Source organism: Homo sapiens, chromosome 7 (genome assembly GCF_000001405.40).
Source record: "Homo sapiens chromosome 7, GRCh38.p14 Primary Assembly".
In the NCBI taxonomy this organism is placed as follows: Eukaryota; Metazoa; Chordata; class Mammalia; order Primates; family Hominidae; genus Homo; species Homo sapiens.
The window spans coordinates 78327585-78347177 of record NC_000007.14 but is presented as its reverse complement, the minus strand read 5'-3'; the positions used below and the strand labels follow the sequence as shown (position 1 = coordinate 78347177).

The following is a 19593-nucleotide window of genomic DNA, read 5'->3' as shown; positions in this document are numbered from 1 at the left end:
GTGCACATGCCAATGTGAAATTGTATATCCAAAAGAAAAAAGTGTGCAGAGATTCAGTTTAGAAATAAACCCGGCCAAGTCCAGCCTTTCCACTTACGAGACATGTGATTTAGAGCAAATAATCCGATCTCTCCATGTGTCAGTCTCATTGCCTTTAAAAGGTGAATAATTGGAATGCAAGTCTGGGTTGTTATGAAACTTCACTGAGGAAAACTATACATAGTAACTGGCCAAGAGTTAAGTACTCAGTATTTGTCAGTTTCTCTTCCATTCCTTCTCTCCTCTTCATGCTTGCCTGCCATAATTCTATGTATCAATGTATATGCCAGCCCTCTCATGGGATGTTTATATCCTAGAGAAAGAGCAGCATAGGCCCACCACTAAAAGCAGATTTGTTGGTTTCTACTCTCCCCACAGATAAGGAACTCTGCATTTCAAACAGCCTGCTATACAGAAATTCACAGTTTGCTTGGACTATAAGCTCTCAGTTTAGCTGGGCAACAGTTGCTTCAAGCCACTCTGCGTCTGATACCTACAAATTTGCCCTCTCACCATGTAGAATATGAATTCTCTACTTTTGCTTGATTTCAGCATCAACTGTCCTACATATGTATTCTGTAACTTCTGCAAACTCTTTCTCCTGGATCCCAGTCTCTCAATCCAGGACCAACTCTAAAAAGTGCAGACTCTGGTTGCTATACTCTATCAATGAATTTACCTCACATTTATCCTGTTGGATATGGGGACTTTGCAAAGCTCAGGTGATGCTCTTTTCTTCAATACCATTCAGTATAAATTTCATTTCTTGACCACTTAGTTTCATGCATATTAAACTCATCTCAAATGAACACAGTAGACCAGAAAGCAAGTGCACATTCTAGTTCTTTTGGCTGAATTATGCATAATGTAAATAGAATAACATATGAGAGAGCCTTTGAAAACTCAGCACTTGTCACAGAAATGTGTGTTGTACACAGGCCAGCCCAGTCAGGAGCCTGACCGCGTGCTGGGTGAGGCACTTGACTGTAATCAGATAAGGTGGCCCTTAATCACCTGCTCTCCATAGAGCCATACATATGGTCTTTTAAATAACTTTGCCCCACGGTTATCCTAATCTGAAATTTTCTTTTTTAGCCACATAAATAGAAGAACACAGTTTGAAAATCCTGTCCTGGAAGCAAAAAGGAAGCTACAGCAACATAACATGCCCCACACAGAACTTGGAACAAAGCCCCTGCAGGCCCCAGGTTTCCGAGGTATGATACCTGTCAGCATGTGATGTTTCAAAGGGAAAATTGTCTGTCAAACTGCCTGCTCTTCCAAATATGTCTGTAGCTTGGACCATTTTGAAAAATTGATTTGCTTTCTCCAGACCTTCCTATTAGCTTTAGCTGGATGTTTGCATTCTCTCTAAACTAATGCCTTTAGCAACCGCAGATGAAGTTATAGCCACAGGCAGTACTTTATAGGAATGTACAGCATGTCACCACGTGGAGATTAATGGATTTTTATAGTGGCACTGTAAACTGAGAGATTCATAGAGACTCATAAGTTTGTCCTTAAAAGACCAAGCACAAGAATGAGGCTTGTTCTCCTTTGTGACAGTAGACAGCTCCTCATGGACATTACCTAGGCCCAAATCCATCCGCCCCCGTGCTGCCCCGGAGAGGTCGCGCAGCGTGAATGACTTGTCTTACTATCAGCGCGACCCAGCAGGGAGGCCCTGGCTGTTCGGTATGTCCCAGGGCTGCTTGCGGGACCTGACTACACCTGGGAGCCACGTAGTGGGATGAGTTGCTGCACAAACTTTTCACAGCTAGTGAGCTTCTAAATAAAAGCACAAAACAGCCTTTAGAGTCGGGAGGCCTAGGCTTGCCTGCTGGTAGTTTTCACGCCATATACTGCAGCATAATTAAATGAATGTAAAGGTCTCCTGGTGAACTTATCTCCAACTATAAACATTAATTTGATAAAGAAAACATAGGAGAAAGGATTATATGTGGTTTTTATTTATGTTTTAAAGAACCTCTGTTTTTAATAAAGATACATGTGATATGTAAGCGGACAGTAAAAGCAGAAGTCTAATAGAATGACTCATTATTTTAGAGTTTATTACTTGTCACCCAAAATGTAACAACAAAGATATCATGCAGAATACTTAACTGAGTTACCATATACAATTTGGCTGTTAAAAATATTAAGTCAGACCACCTAAATATAACACATTTTAAAAGAATCATATAAAATATTTATCTGTGATGGAATTTAAAGCAGATATTAATTGTTTCCTAGTATGACTATTATTTTTTAAAACACTTACTATACTTAGGAATATATTTATTACAGATCATAGCTGGAAAATCATATTATATAACAAATTAGCAGGTAAATCTATGCAGTGCCTATTCAGATTATTCGGGCATATGATTTGAATCTATCAACATATTGTGACAAAATGTGTTACCTTTACATTCATAATTATATCTAAAAACATTGGCTTGCCTTTTGCTCACATTTTAGAGTATACTAAACACTATCGGAGCCAATAGCAATTTATTTATCTGGTTATCTTTATAGTATCTCACAATAGAGCAGTGTAAACAAAAGTCAGTTCCACATACAGGTACTCTTTCTAAGCAATCTGGACCTTTGAGTATGTGATCACATTCCACTGTTTCTCTGTTTGTGATATTGCACATGCTGAAATATTGTGCTCTTATTCACTTAAAAAAAAAATCACAAGTCCATGTCCATTTCATTTCTCTACCCTTATTTCTTCAAGGCTTAGTTTAGGATCGGCCACTGACACATACCTCCTACCTGGAATCTTTCACAATAACAACAGGAACAGATCCAGATGTTGTCTGGATGATTTGGGCTCCTTGTCCTCTTTCTTAGAAGGCTCTGGCAGCCTGTTGACACAGCCTTTTTTAAGCACAAGAAGGCTAACTTAATGAGTGGAAACTGATTTGACAAAAAGTCTGTCTCCAAACCAAACAGCTTTTTCATCTTTCCCTGGATGCTTGGGACTGCTCTTCGTGTGTAGGAAGTTCTAATAGTTTTGCTCCTCTTGCAGTCACCACCTGCTTGCATTTGCTGTATAAGACCCCCCACATTTACCCCTGGGATTGTCGCTGCTCAGGGGCTGGCTTTCTCTTGTCTGAGAACTTGACTTGAACATGCCTTTTTCTTTTTTAACTTATATTGGCCAATGTAGAAAAACCACTCTTCACCCGGGATGCATCCCAGTTGAAGGGAACATTCCTCAGCACCACCCTAAAAAAGAGCAACATGGGCTTTGGATTTACCATCATTGGTGGAGACGAGCCTGATGAGTTTCTGCAGGTGAAAAGTGTGATTCCGGATGGGCCTGCAGCACAGGATGGAAAAATGGAAACAGGTAAGGTCCTTCATGGTTTAGAAAATTGTTTTGCAACATCTTTTTTTCTGAAGGCAAATATAAGGAGCTTCTTTTGTGTTTTTATTCAAAAGACAAAGGTCACTTCACTTTAGGAAAAGCATGAAGCATAAATTATGTTTCCCCTAAGTTTAAAAATATCAAGTTGAATTAATTTGGAAACAATTTTGAATATAATTTTTGCCTTCTTTTTTAAACTACCCCTTCTGTTTGCTGGATTCAATGGACTCTTGAGATTGACACTTTTCTAATTTATCTCTAGAGTTTGTTCTTAGGGGTGTGATTAACATTTCACACTTTTCTAACTTATATTCAGCCACAATATTTTAAAATCTGTGTTAATCTTATAATATTCTCATGCTATATCACCCAGGTTAGTTATTGAAATATACATGCCCATCTCATACGGAAAACTTTAAACTGGACTAGGTCTGTATATGTCCCTATATTATGTTTTAATATATGAGTCTTTTCTAGCCCTTAAAAATTATTTTTCATATATAATTACTCAGATGTCTACTCAAATTACAACTGAAATTTATTTCTTGTGGAAATACAGAGGCAAATTGCTAAGGACAGAAACATATAAAATACAAAAATTACACAGAGTAAATGAAAAAGTAATGAACAAGGTTTGGCTTCACAGTCTGATTTTAAATTTTCTTGCCTGGCCCATGATCTTGGATAAGTCCCATAACTTGTAAATATGAATTTCCTTATCTAGAAAACAATGAAGAAATTAAATATGACCTTATGTCTTTTAAGTGCTGATTCAAGATTTGTATAGTGTAATTTTTTTAAATTATGCTTTAAGTTCTGGGGTACATGTGCAGAACGAGCAGGTTTGTTACATAGGTATACACGTGCCATGGTGGTTTGCTGGACCCATCAAACTGTCATCTACATTAGGTATTTCTCCAAATGCTATCCCTCCCCTATCCCCCCATCTACCAACAGGCCCCAGTGTGTGATGTTCTCCTCCCTGTGTCCATGTGTTCTCATTGTTCAACTCCCACTTATGAGTAAGAACATGTGGTGTTTGGTTTTCTGTTTTTGTGTTAGTTTGCTAAGAATGATGATTTCCAGCTTCATCGAAGTCTCTGCAAAGGACAGGAACACATCCCTTTTTATGGCTGCATAGTATTCCATGGTGTATATGTGCCACATTTTCTTTATCCAGTCTATCATTGATGAGCATTTAGGTTGGTTCCAAGTCTTTGCTATTGTGAATAGTGCCACAGTAAACATACGTGTGCATGTGTCTTTATAGTAGAATGATTTATAATCCTTTGGGTATATATATAGTAATGGGATTGCTAGGTCAAATGGTAATTCTGGTTCTAGATCCTTGAGGAATTGCCACACTGTCTTCCACAATGGTTGAACCAATTTACACTCCCACCAACAGTGTAAAAGCGTTTGTTCGTGTTTCTCCACATCCCCTCCAGCATCTGTTGTTTCCTGACTTTTTAATGATCACCATTCTAACTGGCATGAGATGGTATCTCATTGTGGTTTTGATTTGCATTTCTCTGATGGCCAGTGATGATGAGCCTTTTTTTATGTTTGTTGACTGCACAAATGTCTTCTTTTGAGAAGTGTCTGTTCATATCCTTTGCCCACTTTTTCATAGGGTTTTTTTTTTCTTGTAAATTTGTTTAAGTTCTTTGTAGATTCTGGATATTAGCCCTTTGTCAGATGGGTAGATTGCAAAAACTTTCTCCCATTCTGTAGGTTGCCTGTTCACTTTGATGATAGTTTCTTTTGCAGTGCAGAAGCTCTTTAGTTTAATTAGATCCCATTTGTCAATTTGGGCTTTTGTTGCCATTGCTTTTGGTGTTTTAGTCATGAAGTCTTTGCCCATGCCTATGTCCTGAATGGTATTGCCTGGGTTTTCTTCTAGAGTTTTTATGGTTTTAGGTCTTACATTTAAGTCTTTAATCCATCTTGAGTTAATTTTTATATAAGGTGTAAGGAAGGGGTCCAGTTTCAGTTTTCTGCGTATGGCTAGCCAGTTTTCCCAACACCATTTATTAAATAGGGAATTCTTTCCCCATTGCTTGTTTTCTTCAGGTTTGTCAAAGATCAGATGTTTGTAGATGTATGGTGTTTATTTCTGAGGCCTCTGTTCTGTTCCATTGGCCTGTGTATCTGTTTTGGTACCAGTACGATGCTATTTTGGTTACTGTAGCCTTATAGTATAGTTGGAAGGCATGTAGTGTGATGCCTCCAGCTTTATTCTTTTTGCTTAGGATTGTCTTAGCAATGTGGGCTCTTTTTTGGTTCCATATAAAGTTTATGGTGGTTTTTTCCAGTTCTGTGAAGAAAGCCAACGGTAGCTTGATGGGGATAGCATTAAATCTATAAATTATTTGGGCAGTATGGCCATTTTCATGATATTGATTCCTCTTATCCATGAGTATGGAATGTTTTCCATTTGTTTGTGTCCTCTCTTATTCCCTTGAGCTGTGGTTTATAGTTCTCCCTGAAGAGGTCCTTCACATCCCTCGTAAGTTGTATTCCTAGTATTTTATTCTCTTTGTAGCAGTTTTGAATGGGAGTTCACTTATGATTTGGCCTTCTGTTTGTCTATTATTGGTGTATAGGAATGCTAGTGATTTTTGCACATTGATTTTTGTATCCTGAGACTTTGCTGAAGTTGCTTATTATCAGCATAAGGAGTTTTTGGGCTGAGACGATGGGGTTTTCTAAATATACAATCATGTAATCTGCAAAAAGAGACTATTTGACTTCCTCTTTTTCTATTTGAATGCGCTTTATTTCTTTCTTTTGCCTGATTGCCCCAGCCAGAACTTCCAATACTATGTTGAATAGGAGTGGTGAGAGAGGGTATCCTTGTCTTGTGCCAGTTTTCAAAAGGAATGCTTCCCATTTTTTCCCATTCAGTATGATATTGGCTGTGGGTTTGTCATAAATAGCTCTTATTATTTTGAGATATGTTCCATCAATACCTAGTTTATGGAGAGGTTTTAGTATGAAGGGGTGTTGAATTTTCTCGAAGGCCTTTTCTGCATCTTTTGAGATAATCATGTGGTTTTTGTCATTGATTCTGCTTATGTGATGGATTACGTTTATTGATTTGCATATGTTGAACCAGCCTTGCATCCCAGGAATGAAGCTGACTTGATTGTGATGGAAAAGCTTTTTGATGTGCTGCTGGATTCAGTTTGCCAGTATTTTATTGAGGATTTTTGCATCGATGTTCATCAAGGATATTGGCCTGAAATTTTCTTTTTTTGTTGTATCTCTGCCAGGTTTTGGTATCAGGATGATGCTGGCATCATAAAATGAGTTAGGGAGGATTCCCTCATTTTCTATTGTTTGGAATAGTTTCAGAAGGAATGGTACCATCTCCTCTTTGTATCTCTGATAGAATTCAGCTGTGAATCTGTCTGGTCCTGGACATTTTTTGGTTGGTAGGCTATTACTGCCTCAATTTCAGAAATTTTTCTTGGTATAGTGTAATTTTTAAATTCCTTAGAATACTATTATAAAGTACAATAACTATATCTCTAAAGGAATATACTCTATCCCCATTGTCATGTTTTTCACATTTATTTAGTTCATGATATCAACTTTATAAACTCAATCAGTTCTAATAGATACAAAAATTAGAGAATTCCTTTGGAGAAAAAGTTCTGCCATTTTTATGACCAATACACTTATGAATTGTTCTTCCATGGGTTTTAAAGTGGTTTGTGTATAGAGAAACAAAAAAAATTGAGGTATTCATCTGACATTTTTAATTTTAAATATCACCAACGCTGTATTGCCATTTATCATATAGTTTCTGTATAAATAACTTTTTATGGTGCCCTTATATTTGTCACTGCCACTCATTTGTGAGTAATAATGCATATTATATCTCCTTAAAAGTTGAGATGAAGTTTCAAAACTAACTCACCACGTTTCCAAACGCTACTGTTATAAAAGTCATGTGTACATAATTTTCTACAAGAGTGAGTTAGAGGGTGTCCAACTCTGCCATTCATTTGGTGATATTTTACTGAGCATCCACATCTTCATGTTGCCAAAACCTCACAAACATCAAATGTTTCAATAAAAATTACCCTATTGCCTACGATTAGAATAAGACAAAATTGTGGGACTAATTCCATCTTGGGAAAGGGGAAAGACTCCCCCAGTGCTTTTGAACTTCAGTGAAATATTTCACAAATCCATTACTTTTTAGAATAAAAAATGTAGTTATTTTTCTTTCCACTATTTCATGTTTCAAAACTAGAAAAGACTTATTTCAGTGTAAACTTAAAAGACAAAATAAAAATATTTGAATAGAAAATCTTTTTTCTTTTTTACTCATTTTGCTAGTTTGCCACACCCACACAGTCTAAGTTAGCTTTATTCAACCACAAAGTCAAAGCTTTATTTAGAATTTAGCAGATTGTCTTCATTTAAGATAATCACAAAGCAGGTCCTAGGCAAGATAAAAGAACCAAAGATTTAATTCTATTCACCGTCTCCTATTTAGTCCTCTATGCATTTAACTTGCTGAGCCTTCAATGACTATGAACCTCCCTTTCATAGTCATTGCAGTGCACCAGGGCTATAAAGATGGGAAGAACACAGAACTGTTTCTCAAGGAGTTCACATCTAGGAGGGGCCACAGGCCCATAAACACGTAATTGTAACAAAATATAATAGGTACGTAATAACCACAATATTGGCACAAAGTCAGGAGAGTAGGAGGAGTGAGCAACAGAAGTTTGTTTGTTTGTTTGTTTGTTTGTTTGTTTTCTCAAGAGATGGGGTCTCACTATGTTGCCCAGGCTGGTGGCACTCAAACTCCTGGGCTCACGCAATCCCCCTGCCTCAGCCTTCCAAGTAGCTAGGACTACAGGCATGCACCATCACACCCGGCTAAGCAACAGAAATTTTTTAAAGTATATTGCTAACTGTATAATTTTATTAGGCTTTTATAGGGATGATAATGTCTCTCATTGGAAAAGAGTTTAATCAAACAGAATGTAATGCTTGTTAAATATTCAAAAATATAAAATGTTTACCTGTAATTGTGAGATAATTTAAAATGACATGTAAAAACACATTTCTGCAACATCCCACATGTTATAATAGAGGGAATGGCTCTTCAGTTCAATTCAGCAAATATTTAGTGAATGTGCCAGATATTTTGCTAATTACTAGCAAATCCCAAATTACTAGGGATGCAAAAATGAGACAAATGTTTCTATCTTCAAGAAGTTTACCAGTGACATGTTAATGAGTATTTATATCAATGCTATAATAAAAATATGTACATAAGTACAACAATAGTACACAGGAAAGGGGGAATCCGTTCTGCTGGGAGGTGCTTAGGGAAGGCCTCATAGAGAAGATGATGCCTGAAAGAGTTTTGGATGACGAACAGATATCTGCTAGGTGGACAAGTGAGGAAGATCATGGGAAGAGGAAATAGCACATGCAGAGAGGCACAGTAGTGAGAAATGCCTAGAAAAAGCGGTACGCCGCCACCGTGTACATTAATGTTTCACCTTCAGTGTGGATTTATGGTGAAGTATGGAGTAAAATGATCATCATAAGTGGTAAAGATGAACTACTTAGACTTGTAGCAAACATCAGAGACAGTATAGAGTCATATATCCTCAAATAAAAAAACCAAAATATCACAAATACACATATACCTGTAATTAAAACCATTCTCATAGAATTTTTCAACTAATTTTTAGCCCATTTGGCATAGAGGTTTGCTCTATGGCTAATATTTTGTTTTACTTACATGCTCCTGGCACATAAAACAGCGCTGGGCAAATAACAGGTGCTCATAAGTACTTCTTGGATGGATGGATGGATGGATGGATGGATGGATGGTGATTGGATGGATGCTTTTATAAATGAAGAAATGAAATTTGAATAGGCTGAATTCCTCTTTTACAGTATAGCCTAGTCAATGCTAATTGGACAATGTAGCGGACCACTGAAGCACCAACAAACCAGTTTTTCATTTTCTGGATGAAATTTAAAAGACAAGTACATGGTAAAGACAAAATTAATTTTCTTTTTTATAATGACTTTATATATCAAATGAACCTCAAAAATTAACACAAATAATAGATGCTACAGATATAAATGATAAGTCATTGGTATTGAAAAGGTGAGCAGTCTCATTTGACATTGAAATCAACATGAAAGTATTTTAATCAACTTCTCCAGCTCTAGGTGATCTCTAATTTAGGCAAAAAGATGTCAGTAGTTTGTGTAGGCACAAAGAAAAATCCTCTGTACCAAAAAGTTTGAACCAGGGTCCTGTACAAGAGAAACAAGGGTAGAGTTGGGAATTATTTCTTTCTTAGTCAGCACTGACTCCTGGGAAGGTATGGAGAACAGGAGAAAATGAGGGCAGTGTGCCTTTGGCTGCTTTTTGACAACAGCTGCTTATTGACAATCACTGAGCCAATCCCTGATGATCCTATGATGTTCCAGAAGGTTTCTCAGAAAGAATTATCACAGTGCCCAGAAACCTTCTGAGTTCTGGTTATTAAGTATTCTACACATCCCAGCAATCATTTGTAAACACTAGAGACCCTGATTACATTCTTTAAAGTATTTTAAAAATCAAGTTTGATGTAACATGGCTTACACAGAAACCACAGAGTCTGATAGATAGTTATTTATCTAACATCCTTCAGTTAAAAAGCTTCCCTCTTTACATGATGTTTTGTGTTTTTCCCTAGGCTAATTTTTGAATCAAAGCTTGTGGTTTGCAGCATACACGAGAGAGAAGAGAGCTAACCTATTCATGAAGTGCTTCCATAGGCAGGGGTTGAATTAGAAGTAACTCATAACCCGTTCATTTTTATTTGCCTTCCTTTAGTATTTATCCATTTTATTAGTAAAATCACAAGAAAGTGTCCTGAGAGAAAAACTCGCGAGCATCCTAGCATTCTTCTTCATCTTTCTCTTCTTTTTTTCTTCTTTCTTTTCTTCTTCTTCTTGCTTCTTTCTTCTCTCTTCTTTCTTCTTTTCATCATCTTTTTCTTGACAGAGTCTCATTCTGTCACCCAGGCTGGAGTGTAGTGGCACAATCATAGCTCACTGTAGCCTCCAGCTCCTAGGCTCCAGCCATCCTCCCACCTCAGCCTCCCAAGTAGCTAGAACCACAGGCTTGCACCACCATGCTTGGCTAATTTCTTTAAAATTTTTATAGAGACAAGGTATCACTTTGTTGCCTAGGCTGGTCTCAAACTCCTGGCCTGAAGCAAGGCTCCTGCCTTGGCCTCCCAAAATCCTGGGATTACAGTTATGAGGCACCATGCCCAGCCGATCCTAGAATTCTTCAGCCCCTGGCACTTCTCCACTTGAGCAGGTAGATATCACTGCTCTTTCAGTGGTCGCTACCTCTATATCTGTGCTTCTGAAAGTAAGGGCACAAGATTAACTTTGTCAGAACCATTTGGAGAGCTTTTTAAAAATACAGTTTCCTGTGCCCCCAGACCTACTGATTCCAGGTTTCTAGAAGCAGTGTTCAACAATAAGCATGTGTGTATATATATGTATTTTTTTAATTGTTGAAGCAGTACATGTGCATGGTAAATAAAAAAGGATCAAAATATTTATCATGCTTAAAATGTCTCCACCCTGTCCCTTCCCACCCTCTAAACCTATAATCCCAGAGACAGTGGATTAGTTTATATTCTTTTAGACAATTCTTTTGGTAGCTACCTTCACACTTCTAACAAATACACTTATACAGTTGTCTTGATTTAACGGTTTAGACATGACCTATATTTACTTTCTTTTAGAAAGAAATGAAGCTTTAGCATCTGGTAACCCTCCTACATCCTCCCAGTGGAGTTTTACACTAATTTTAGTGAAATTTGCATAGTTTTTGCATCATTATGGCTTTGTACATTTGTTCACTGAGCCCAGTAATGTACCATAAATATATTGTTTCCCATAAACAGCTTTGTGGAGTTTTATACTCTTTCTTTATTGCAATATATTTCTTAAAATAATCATATTTTCCCCCAAAAGTGTCATCATGTTAGGTACTATGGAGGATCTCCCTTTTTCTGGTCATTTTTTTGTCTTCCAACCCTTGTCTAGTGGGGTGGTTGCATGGCTGACACTTAGGGACTTTGCATTATATTTTTCCCAAACACAGTCCCCTGTTATTCCTATCCATATCCTCTTTTTCTCACATACCTTTATTTTACTAGAGTGTGGTGCTCACATGTCTAATGATTCTAGATTTCCATATTTAAGAGTGAAATCCTATAAAGATACTTGGGGGTCCAACGTTGGTGGCAGAGTTTGAAGACTAGTCAGATTTTATTTAGGGTTATGAAGCAGGGACAGAATAAGAAAGTCTAATCTGTTCTCTGGGGCATTTTCTTTCTGTTTTGGAGACACTCCCATTCTCTGACTTGGGTGTGTGGTGGGAGTTCTGCATGCAGGCAAATGGCCAAGCCGATCTTCCATGTACTCAGATCAGATGTTTCCGAATCCCTAGCCCTTCTGGGGTTCCGTGGAGCAACTGAGAGTCCTTCCTATCCATGCTGCCCTCCCAGCCAAGAAGACACTAGAACCGAAATCAGCAAACTCTCTAAAGGGTCAAATATTAGTAAATACTTAGATAAAACATTTTAGGTTTTGCAGACCAGATGGTCTCTGTTACAACTATTCAACTCTGCTATCGTGAAAGCAGCCCTAGACAACATGTAAAAACAAGAGAGTATGGCTGTGTTCCAATAAAACTTTAATTACAAATACAGGTGGCAGCAGGTTTTGTCTCATGGGTCTTAGTTTGCCAGCTCCTGCTCTGGAATATACTTTTCAAAGTCATGATACCTCTGCTCTCATGCCTTTACTGACATTCCATATTCTAGCATTCTCTTCCATTGTCTTGTCCTTATAACAGTCTTTCTCTGGGGCTCTTCATTGCTGTGGGTTTATCTATTTTAAAGTCCTTGTTAAAGAGAAAGATGTGTGTTCAGTCTGTTATCTTGAACCAAAAGTCAGAATCCGCATCATATGCCCCGTGGATATGCCTGGGCTACGACTGCCTGTAGTAGTAGCAAGAAGATTCCTTTCTCACCTACTGTACAGCTTTGCAAACACCCTCCATCCTAACCTCCCCCTCTCCCATCCAAGCCTATGCTCAGAACTGCTTTGAAGGGGTGTTTGTGAATAACAGTGGGGATTAACTTTTAGGGTGGAGACTATGGGCTTCTATCCAACAGAAAAAACCCTAATCTTTACATTTATCTTTCTTATCAGTCACATTAAGTGGCTTCTGGGAATAAGTCTAGGATGTTGGACTATGAGCAGTTTCTCACTTTGGGGGTTTTAGCACTGTTTCAGGAAATTCTATCCCATAGCATTATTATCTGAAATCTTAGTTACCCTTTTTACCCTCTAGGGAAGAGTGAGGATTAACCTGAGGTCCATGTGCATGGTGATGGGCCTGCTCTCCGATGAGTAGTTACTGCCTCTCTTCTTAGTGCTGGCCATTCCATGTTGATTTTCCAGTTAATGGTCATCCAGTGATTTCCCACTCTACCCCAGCGCAGTGTTCTTTGGCCCTTCCTAACCATTCTGAGCTCCTTAGCAGTTTAATACAATTTCCTGGTTGTTCATTAAACATTCCCTGAGAAAGAGCTGCAAGAAAGCCTAAGAAGTCATTTGAAAATGTTTTCTGGCTTGTTTTTCCACCACTTCATAACCAACCTATATCCAGAGCAGGCTTCCTTTTGAAACCTGAGCACACACTGAGAATCAGAGAAATGTAATTTTTCTACTCTTTTGAAGTACCTGTTTAGTTTTCTATTGCTGCCTAACAAACTATGCCAAACTCAAGTGATTTAAAAGAACACTAGATTGTTGGCTCATGATTCTGCGATCTCACTCAGGATCAGGCAGGTCGCTGTCTCCTACTAGACTTCCTTTGGGACTCATCACCCAGCTGCAGTCATATGAAGCTCTCCTGGGGCTAGCATGCGCAGGGCGGCTTCACTCACGCTTCATGCCTCCGCTGGGATGGTTGGGACACCTGAGATCTTGCCAGGCATTGCTCCACACAGTCTCAATGACAAGGTAGCTTAGGGTAGCTTGAGAGAGCAAAAGGGAAGGCTGTCAGGCCTCTTAAGGCCTAGGCTGGATCCTGCACAGTATCACTTCCACCTCATTCCATTGATTTAGGTGGTATAAATCATTGAGGTGGTCTGTCAATTCCTAAAACCAAATGATCTAATCAGAGAAATGCAACTTTTCTACTCTTTGGATCAGAGAGAGTCATAGGTCAGCCCAGACTCAAGAGAAGGGGGAACCTTTTGGTGGAGAAGTAGCAAAAAATTTTTAGTAATCTTTTATCTGCTGCAGTATGCTTCTTGTGGCTGCTTTGTTTCAGAGTTCCCTGTGTTTGTGCAAACTCCCCTAAGAAAGTACCTTTCACTTTTATGGGCACTCTGCCTTCTCACAATCTTTCTGGTACAGAGCATTGATAATGTTTTCCCTTTCAGTTCTCTGTAGTGCTAGCAATAAATAATAGTGAATCATAGTACCACATCCAGAAATTATAAGCAGTAAAACCACCAGGTCTCTAGCTTTATCTTCCTAATAAAAATAAAGGAAGTGGTTATAGGAATTCAATTTTTAAAAAAAGGTTTTAATCTAGCAAAATATTCATACTCACATCGTGTTAGATAATTTTCTAAAACTGCCATGACATAACATCATTTTGCCTGTTTAGACATTTATGAACTTTAGGTGCTAATGAAAACATTTTGGTCTCTCTAAAAGTCAGAAAATAAATTTCTAGCCAGCTGGCCAATGCTAGTATCTTCCAGTAGAAAAGAAATAAACTTAGCCCATCAATATATTTACTCTTTGTTCTTTCTAAACACACCTAACTTTCAAAACTCCACTTCATTTTGTTCAAATACCTAATATCTCCACTGCTAGTAATGTATCTCTCAGACCAATAACATGACCTCTCACAGTGAGGGTGAGAGCAGCACTGAACACTTTCTAGCCACTACTCTCCTTTTTTTTTTTTTTTTTTTTTGAGACGGAGTCTCGCTCTGTCACCCAGGCTAGCGTGCAGTGGCGCGATCTTGGCTCACTGCAAGCTCTGCCTCCCGGGTTCACACCATTCTCCTGCCTCAGCCTCCTGAGTAGCTGGGACTACAGGCGCCCGCCACAACACCAGACTAATTTTTTCTATTTTTAGTAGAGATGGGATTTCACCATTTTAGCCAGGATGGTCTCGATCTCCTGACCTTGTGATCCTCCCGCCTCGGCCTCCCGAAATGCTGGGATTACAGGCGTGAGCCACTGCGCCCAGCCTACTCTCCTTTTATAATGACACATAGGTGATACAGATGTCACACCTGGAAAAGTGCTTGAGTTTGGCTACAGACCAACCACTTGGGGATTAAAAACAACGTCATTGCATCAATTCTTAAAACCATGCTATGCTTCAGCAAAACATTTAGTTTTAAAAAGAGGCCTTTGTAACCCAAATGCTATTGTGGTGCCTCTTTATTCTCATTTCTGTCTTTTCTTTTTGCCTTGCACAGTCCTCTTTATTCCCTCTTCATTTAAAATCACATTTTGATAAAAGTTCACTTGAGAAGGGGTAACTATACAAATGTTATCCTAGGTTCTCATCTCTGCTGCAGGATTAAGAACTTTAGTATCATTTTAGTGCAGATATAGCGAAGTGTGCTACTTCACATTTTTTTCTAGTTTCAGTATTGGTATCCATTTGGATTAGTCACACAGTAATTGAGATATGATATGCATGATGATTTTACCTGTTAAGGTCATGGAAGTCAATGCACTTAAATGTACATTTATTACTATTATTTTTAAGTTATTCTGCACAAAATATTTATATTAATTTGCACTAAGGCTCACTGGCCCTCTGAGGAGCTAAAGTAAAATATAGATGGGGCCTCTACTCGGCCTGAGAGCAGAGCTCAGAATGGTGCTAGACATTATAACACCAGGAATGTTATATTAGAGTACCAGAGTATGCTACTGGGTATAAAATTGGCATTTTAAAAAGAATTCTGAAAGCCTGTTATTTAAATATAATAGAAATGGACTGGAAGATATGGGGTTAACATCATCTTTTTATACTTAATAGTATAGGAGTAGGTGGTTGGCTGTGACTATATTAGTGAGAGGTGTTTACCTTAAGATAAATTTAAACTAAAAGTAATAACTAAATGCATTTAAGCAGTTATTATCACTTTAGCTTTTTAAGTGTAGGTCCAAAATCACCAATTGCCTTGCTTTATCAATGAACCAAAGTGAGCACAGCTAGATCCAAAGATTTACCGGATTCTGCTATCTGGACTGCCATCTGCATTATTTTTTTATACATAATTTCAACTTGTATTTGAGATTCAGGGGTACCTGTGCAGGTTTGTTACATAGGTATATTGCGTGACGCTGAGGTTTGGGGTATGCATGATCCTGTCACTCAGGTATTGAGCTTAGTACCCAATAGGTAGTTTCTCAGCCCTTGCCCCGACTGTCCCCACTCTAGTAGTCCCTAGTGTCTGTTATTTCCATCTTTATATCCATATGTACCCAATGTTTAACTTCCACTTGTAAGTGAGAACATGTAGTATTTGGATTTTTGTTCTTGTGTTAATTCACTTAGGACAGTGGCCTCCAGCTGCATCCATGTTGCTGCAAAGGACATGATTTCATCATTTTTTATGGCTGCATAGTATTCTGTGGTGTGTGTGTGTTCTATGGTGTGTGTATGTGTGTACACACATGCACGTGTATACGCACCATATGCACTCTTATAGACAATGTCAGATTCGTTCAGTTCGTACTACTCTGTCTCTCTGAACTGAGCCTTTGGTTCATCAGGAAACAATCTGCTTTTTATGAAAGATGCTTATTTTTATCTGATCCTCCCTCAGCTGAATTGGAAATTCTTATTTGCCAGCCCCTGCCTCCCCAACCTGACTATAATAAGTTCATTGAGATCAAAACCTGTGTCTGACTTGATCGTTAATAAATCCCCAAGGCTTAGTTCATAACCAGGTATATGGAAAATATTCAACTTGTTGATTAAATAAGTGAAGGAATCTTTCTTTTTTTTTTTTTTTTTTTTTTTTTTTTTGAGACGGAGTCTCGCTGTCGCCCAGGCTGGAGTGCAGTGGCGCAATCTCGGCTCACTGCAGGCTCCGCCCCCTGGGGTTCACGCCATTCTCCTGCCTCAGCCTCCGGAGTAGCTGGGACTACAGGCGCCCGCCACCTCGCCCGGCTAATTTTTTGTATTTTTAGTAGAGACAGGGTTTCACCGTGTTAGCCAGGATGGTCTCGATCTCCTGACCTCGTGATCCGCCCGCCTCGGCCTCCCAAAGTGCTGGGATTACAGGCGTGAGCCACCGCGCCCGGCCGTGAAGGAATCTTTCTATGCAGCACTAGTCTGACATGGATTACTATGGAGGCAGAAGATTTGCTGTAATCATCATAGAGTCTTCTATGATTATGTTGTCCTTACAGAATTATTTAAAGCTTTTCTTAGTCTAGTTTAACCAAACATCTCACCAGATGTGTTATTATATATAAAATACTTAGGTCATGGCACATGGAATCTCTCGGAAATGGTAGCCATTATGAATCTCCATAAGACTATCTCCCAATAAATTAAAGCTATAATATTCTAGAAGTAATGGATACATGAAAAGATCTTATGAACTCTTAGGATGTTCACCCTTTGGATCCTGGAGACAAAATGATTCTGCATTGAACATTTAAAGACACCTCTTGCTTCTTTAAATCATTTTAGACTTCATAGAGGTATCAGGAAATTTTCAGAATTGTGGTGCCATGTTGACAACTGTTCTGTTGGCAGACTGGCAGCTGAAATAGGGACATTTCACCTCTTCTGTATGCATTATCTGACACTAAAATTGGGCTAGGTGCCATGTAAGTATGCCGTAGGATGCTCATCTCTTTTTGCTAGGCACGTTTTACAGATCAGTAACCTAATCTTCATTTGTTTAATAATGATCTCTCCATTTTTGTTATGGTAACCCACTCCAAAAATAAAAGCAAGTCAATTCTGAATCATAACAAAAAGAAAAGTCTGAGGAGGGTAAGATAGTTGGAGTATGCATGAAGAAAAGTAAATGTTTCTGCTAAGAGAAATAACACTCCTTGAATTAAATATATAGGATATTGGTGCATATTCCTATAGCTTGTCATATGGGTTTGCAAGTGCTCGGTGAAAAGTTCAATTGTATATATATGCACATATGTGTCATCATCCACAGGTATGTGGAATATAAGTGACAAGAGGCAAGAAACATATCTTTCATTTTCTTTAGCTAAGTCATAGATCTTAGCTCATAATTATGAATTTCTTAGTATTCTGAATAAAGAGACTTCATTGAAGTCAATAGGAGATAAATTACCATGCAGACCTTTGTTTATAAGTGTGATTCTGCTGGTTTTTGCAAGCTGCCAGTGAAATTACAGATAGAGTGCACTGGAGTCTGCAAATATCAAAACTGCTGCAGCTGCAGAAACATTATCCCTGTATCCAATGTAATTAATGTGCCTCTCATATGCTCCAGCTGAGGATTTGCATGAAGTGACAAGAGTACACATGGTAAATCTTGAGTGTCATCATCTAACTTACTACTTTGCTGGAAAATCAAACTCTGTAAGGTAAATTTTGCTTTTTTTAATGGCAAGAACTATTGTCACAAGGGAAAAAAATTCTACTACGTATATGAAATATTGACAAAAGAAGTGGGAACTTTGTTTCGTCAAGCCAAGGTTAATAACCTAGAACTGTCTTTCTTTATATCATCACTTTTATCTTCCTGCTCTCTTTGTTTTAAAGTATTACGTCCTAATATTTTCACTCCTCTTACTTCTTTGTTGTATTTCTTTTGTATTTTCTTATCTGACTATGGGGGATGGTGGGAAAGAATACTGGATATATTTTCTCCCGTGTCCTCATGAGAGAAGAAAAATATTTGGTATGAAAAAATTACTTAGATTGCCACAGGTATAAATTTCATATGAAATAGTGAACATAATTTTAAGCACAATGATAAGCAATGTAGCAACATTGGCATTTTTTTCAGAGGAGTCTTTCATGGACTTGTATAAGATTGTGATCCAGGATTGGGATATAAAGCCTTTAAAGTGTTAAAGTAATGAGAATAAAGTAAGAGAGAGAGAGAGAGGGGTGTGTGTGTGTGTGTGTGTGTGTGTGTTTTAGAGCTGGGAGCAACAAGAGCTGAGATATAAGCATCCGTTGAACATTCCTGGAAAACAAGATGCCAGGATTTTCTGGCATCTTATATCCTTAAATATATCCTATATATTTAACTCAGTATTTCTGGTCACTGACATTTGCCTACAGGCTACATCAGTGGTGACAGATGTAATCTCAAAACTTACAGAGTAGAACCTCAAGTACAAAGTAAAAGATATGGAATTGTTTTCAGTGTTTTCATCAAGGCGTAAGTCCTTGAGGGGTTTTTGGGTTTTTTTTAACAAAATGCAAAGGTCATTTTTCCTTTGGAAAAAAAATAACCACCTGCCATTTCCTCGAGAAAAGGTGACATTTTTCTAAGAAAAGGAGACATTTTGCCCAGAGGCAAGTGGAGGCAGTTTCTAGGATTGCCTGACAGTGAGTTTACATAAGAGCTGAACAAGATGCTGTGCCTCTGGCAGAAATGACATTTTCCTCCCTATTCAGAGCTGCAAATTCTAAAAAGTACAAAACTGATTTTTCATGGTAAATTTCCAAGGCTCTTATTGATGTGTGGAGTGGCATTATTAATTAATGTTATGACTACATGTCTTGCTGAGACAAGCAGAGGTTATACAAAGATGGCAGGCTGGGGCACTTAGCCCTGAGTCAGAAGTCCAGGGCTTACATCTGATTTCTGTCATCGACTAATCTTGTTCTGTTTTACAATCCACCTAGCCCCTTATTGCACAGCATCAGTATTCCCATCTATTATCAACTATTCAAGATAGATGCATCCACTTGCTCATTCATTTATTCAGCAAACCTTATCAGGGGATATTGAGTGGTATTTTTCATAGAATTGACTCCAGGACCCAAAAACCTACCTCAGTGCTACTGTGGGGGCTCCCCTACTATAATCAAACCCTCTCCTCTC

The 19593-nt window shown here is 38.3% G+C and overlaps 1 protein-coding gene across 15 annotated transcripts in view; it reads left to right on the top strand.

Moving 5' to 3' along the window:
- Positions 1–19593, top strand: part of MAGI2 (membrane associated guanylate kinase, WW and PDZ domain containing 2) — a 1436613-nt gene that overhangs the window by 1106490 nt on the left and 310530 nt on the right. For 7 of the 15 annotated variants that reach the window (XM_017012842.3, XM_047421092.1, XM_017012843.3 and 4 more), the window contains 3 exons: positions 1135–1256; positions 1606–1734; positions 3218–3400. In XM_017012842.3, the coding sequence (XP_016868331.1) occupies positions 1135–1256; positions 1606–1734; positions 3218–3400 (434 nt within the window). The remainder of the gene's footprint in view (positions 1–1134; positions 1257–1605; positions 1735–3217; positions 3401–19593) is intronic. The other 8 variants (XM_047421093.1, XM_017012845.3, NM_001301128.2 and 5 more) reach the window with 2 other exon arrangements.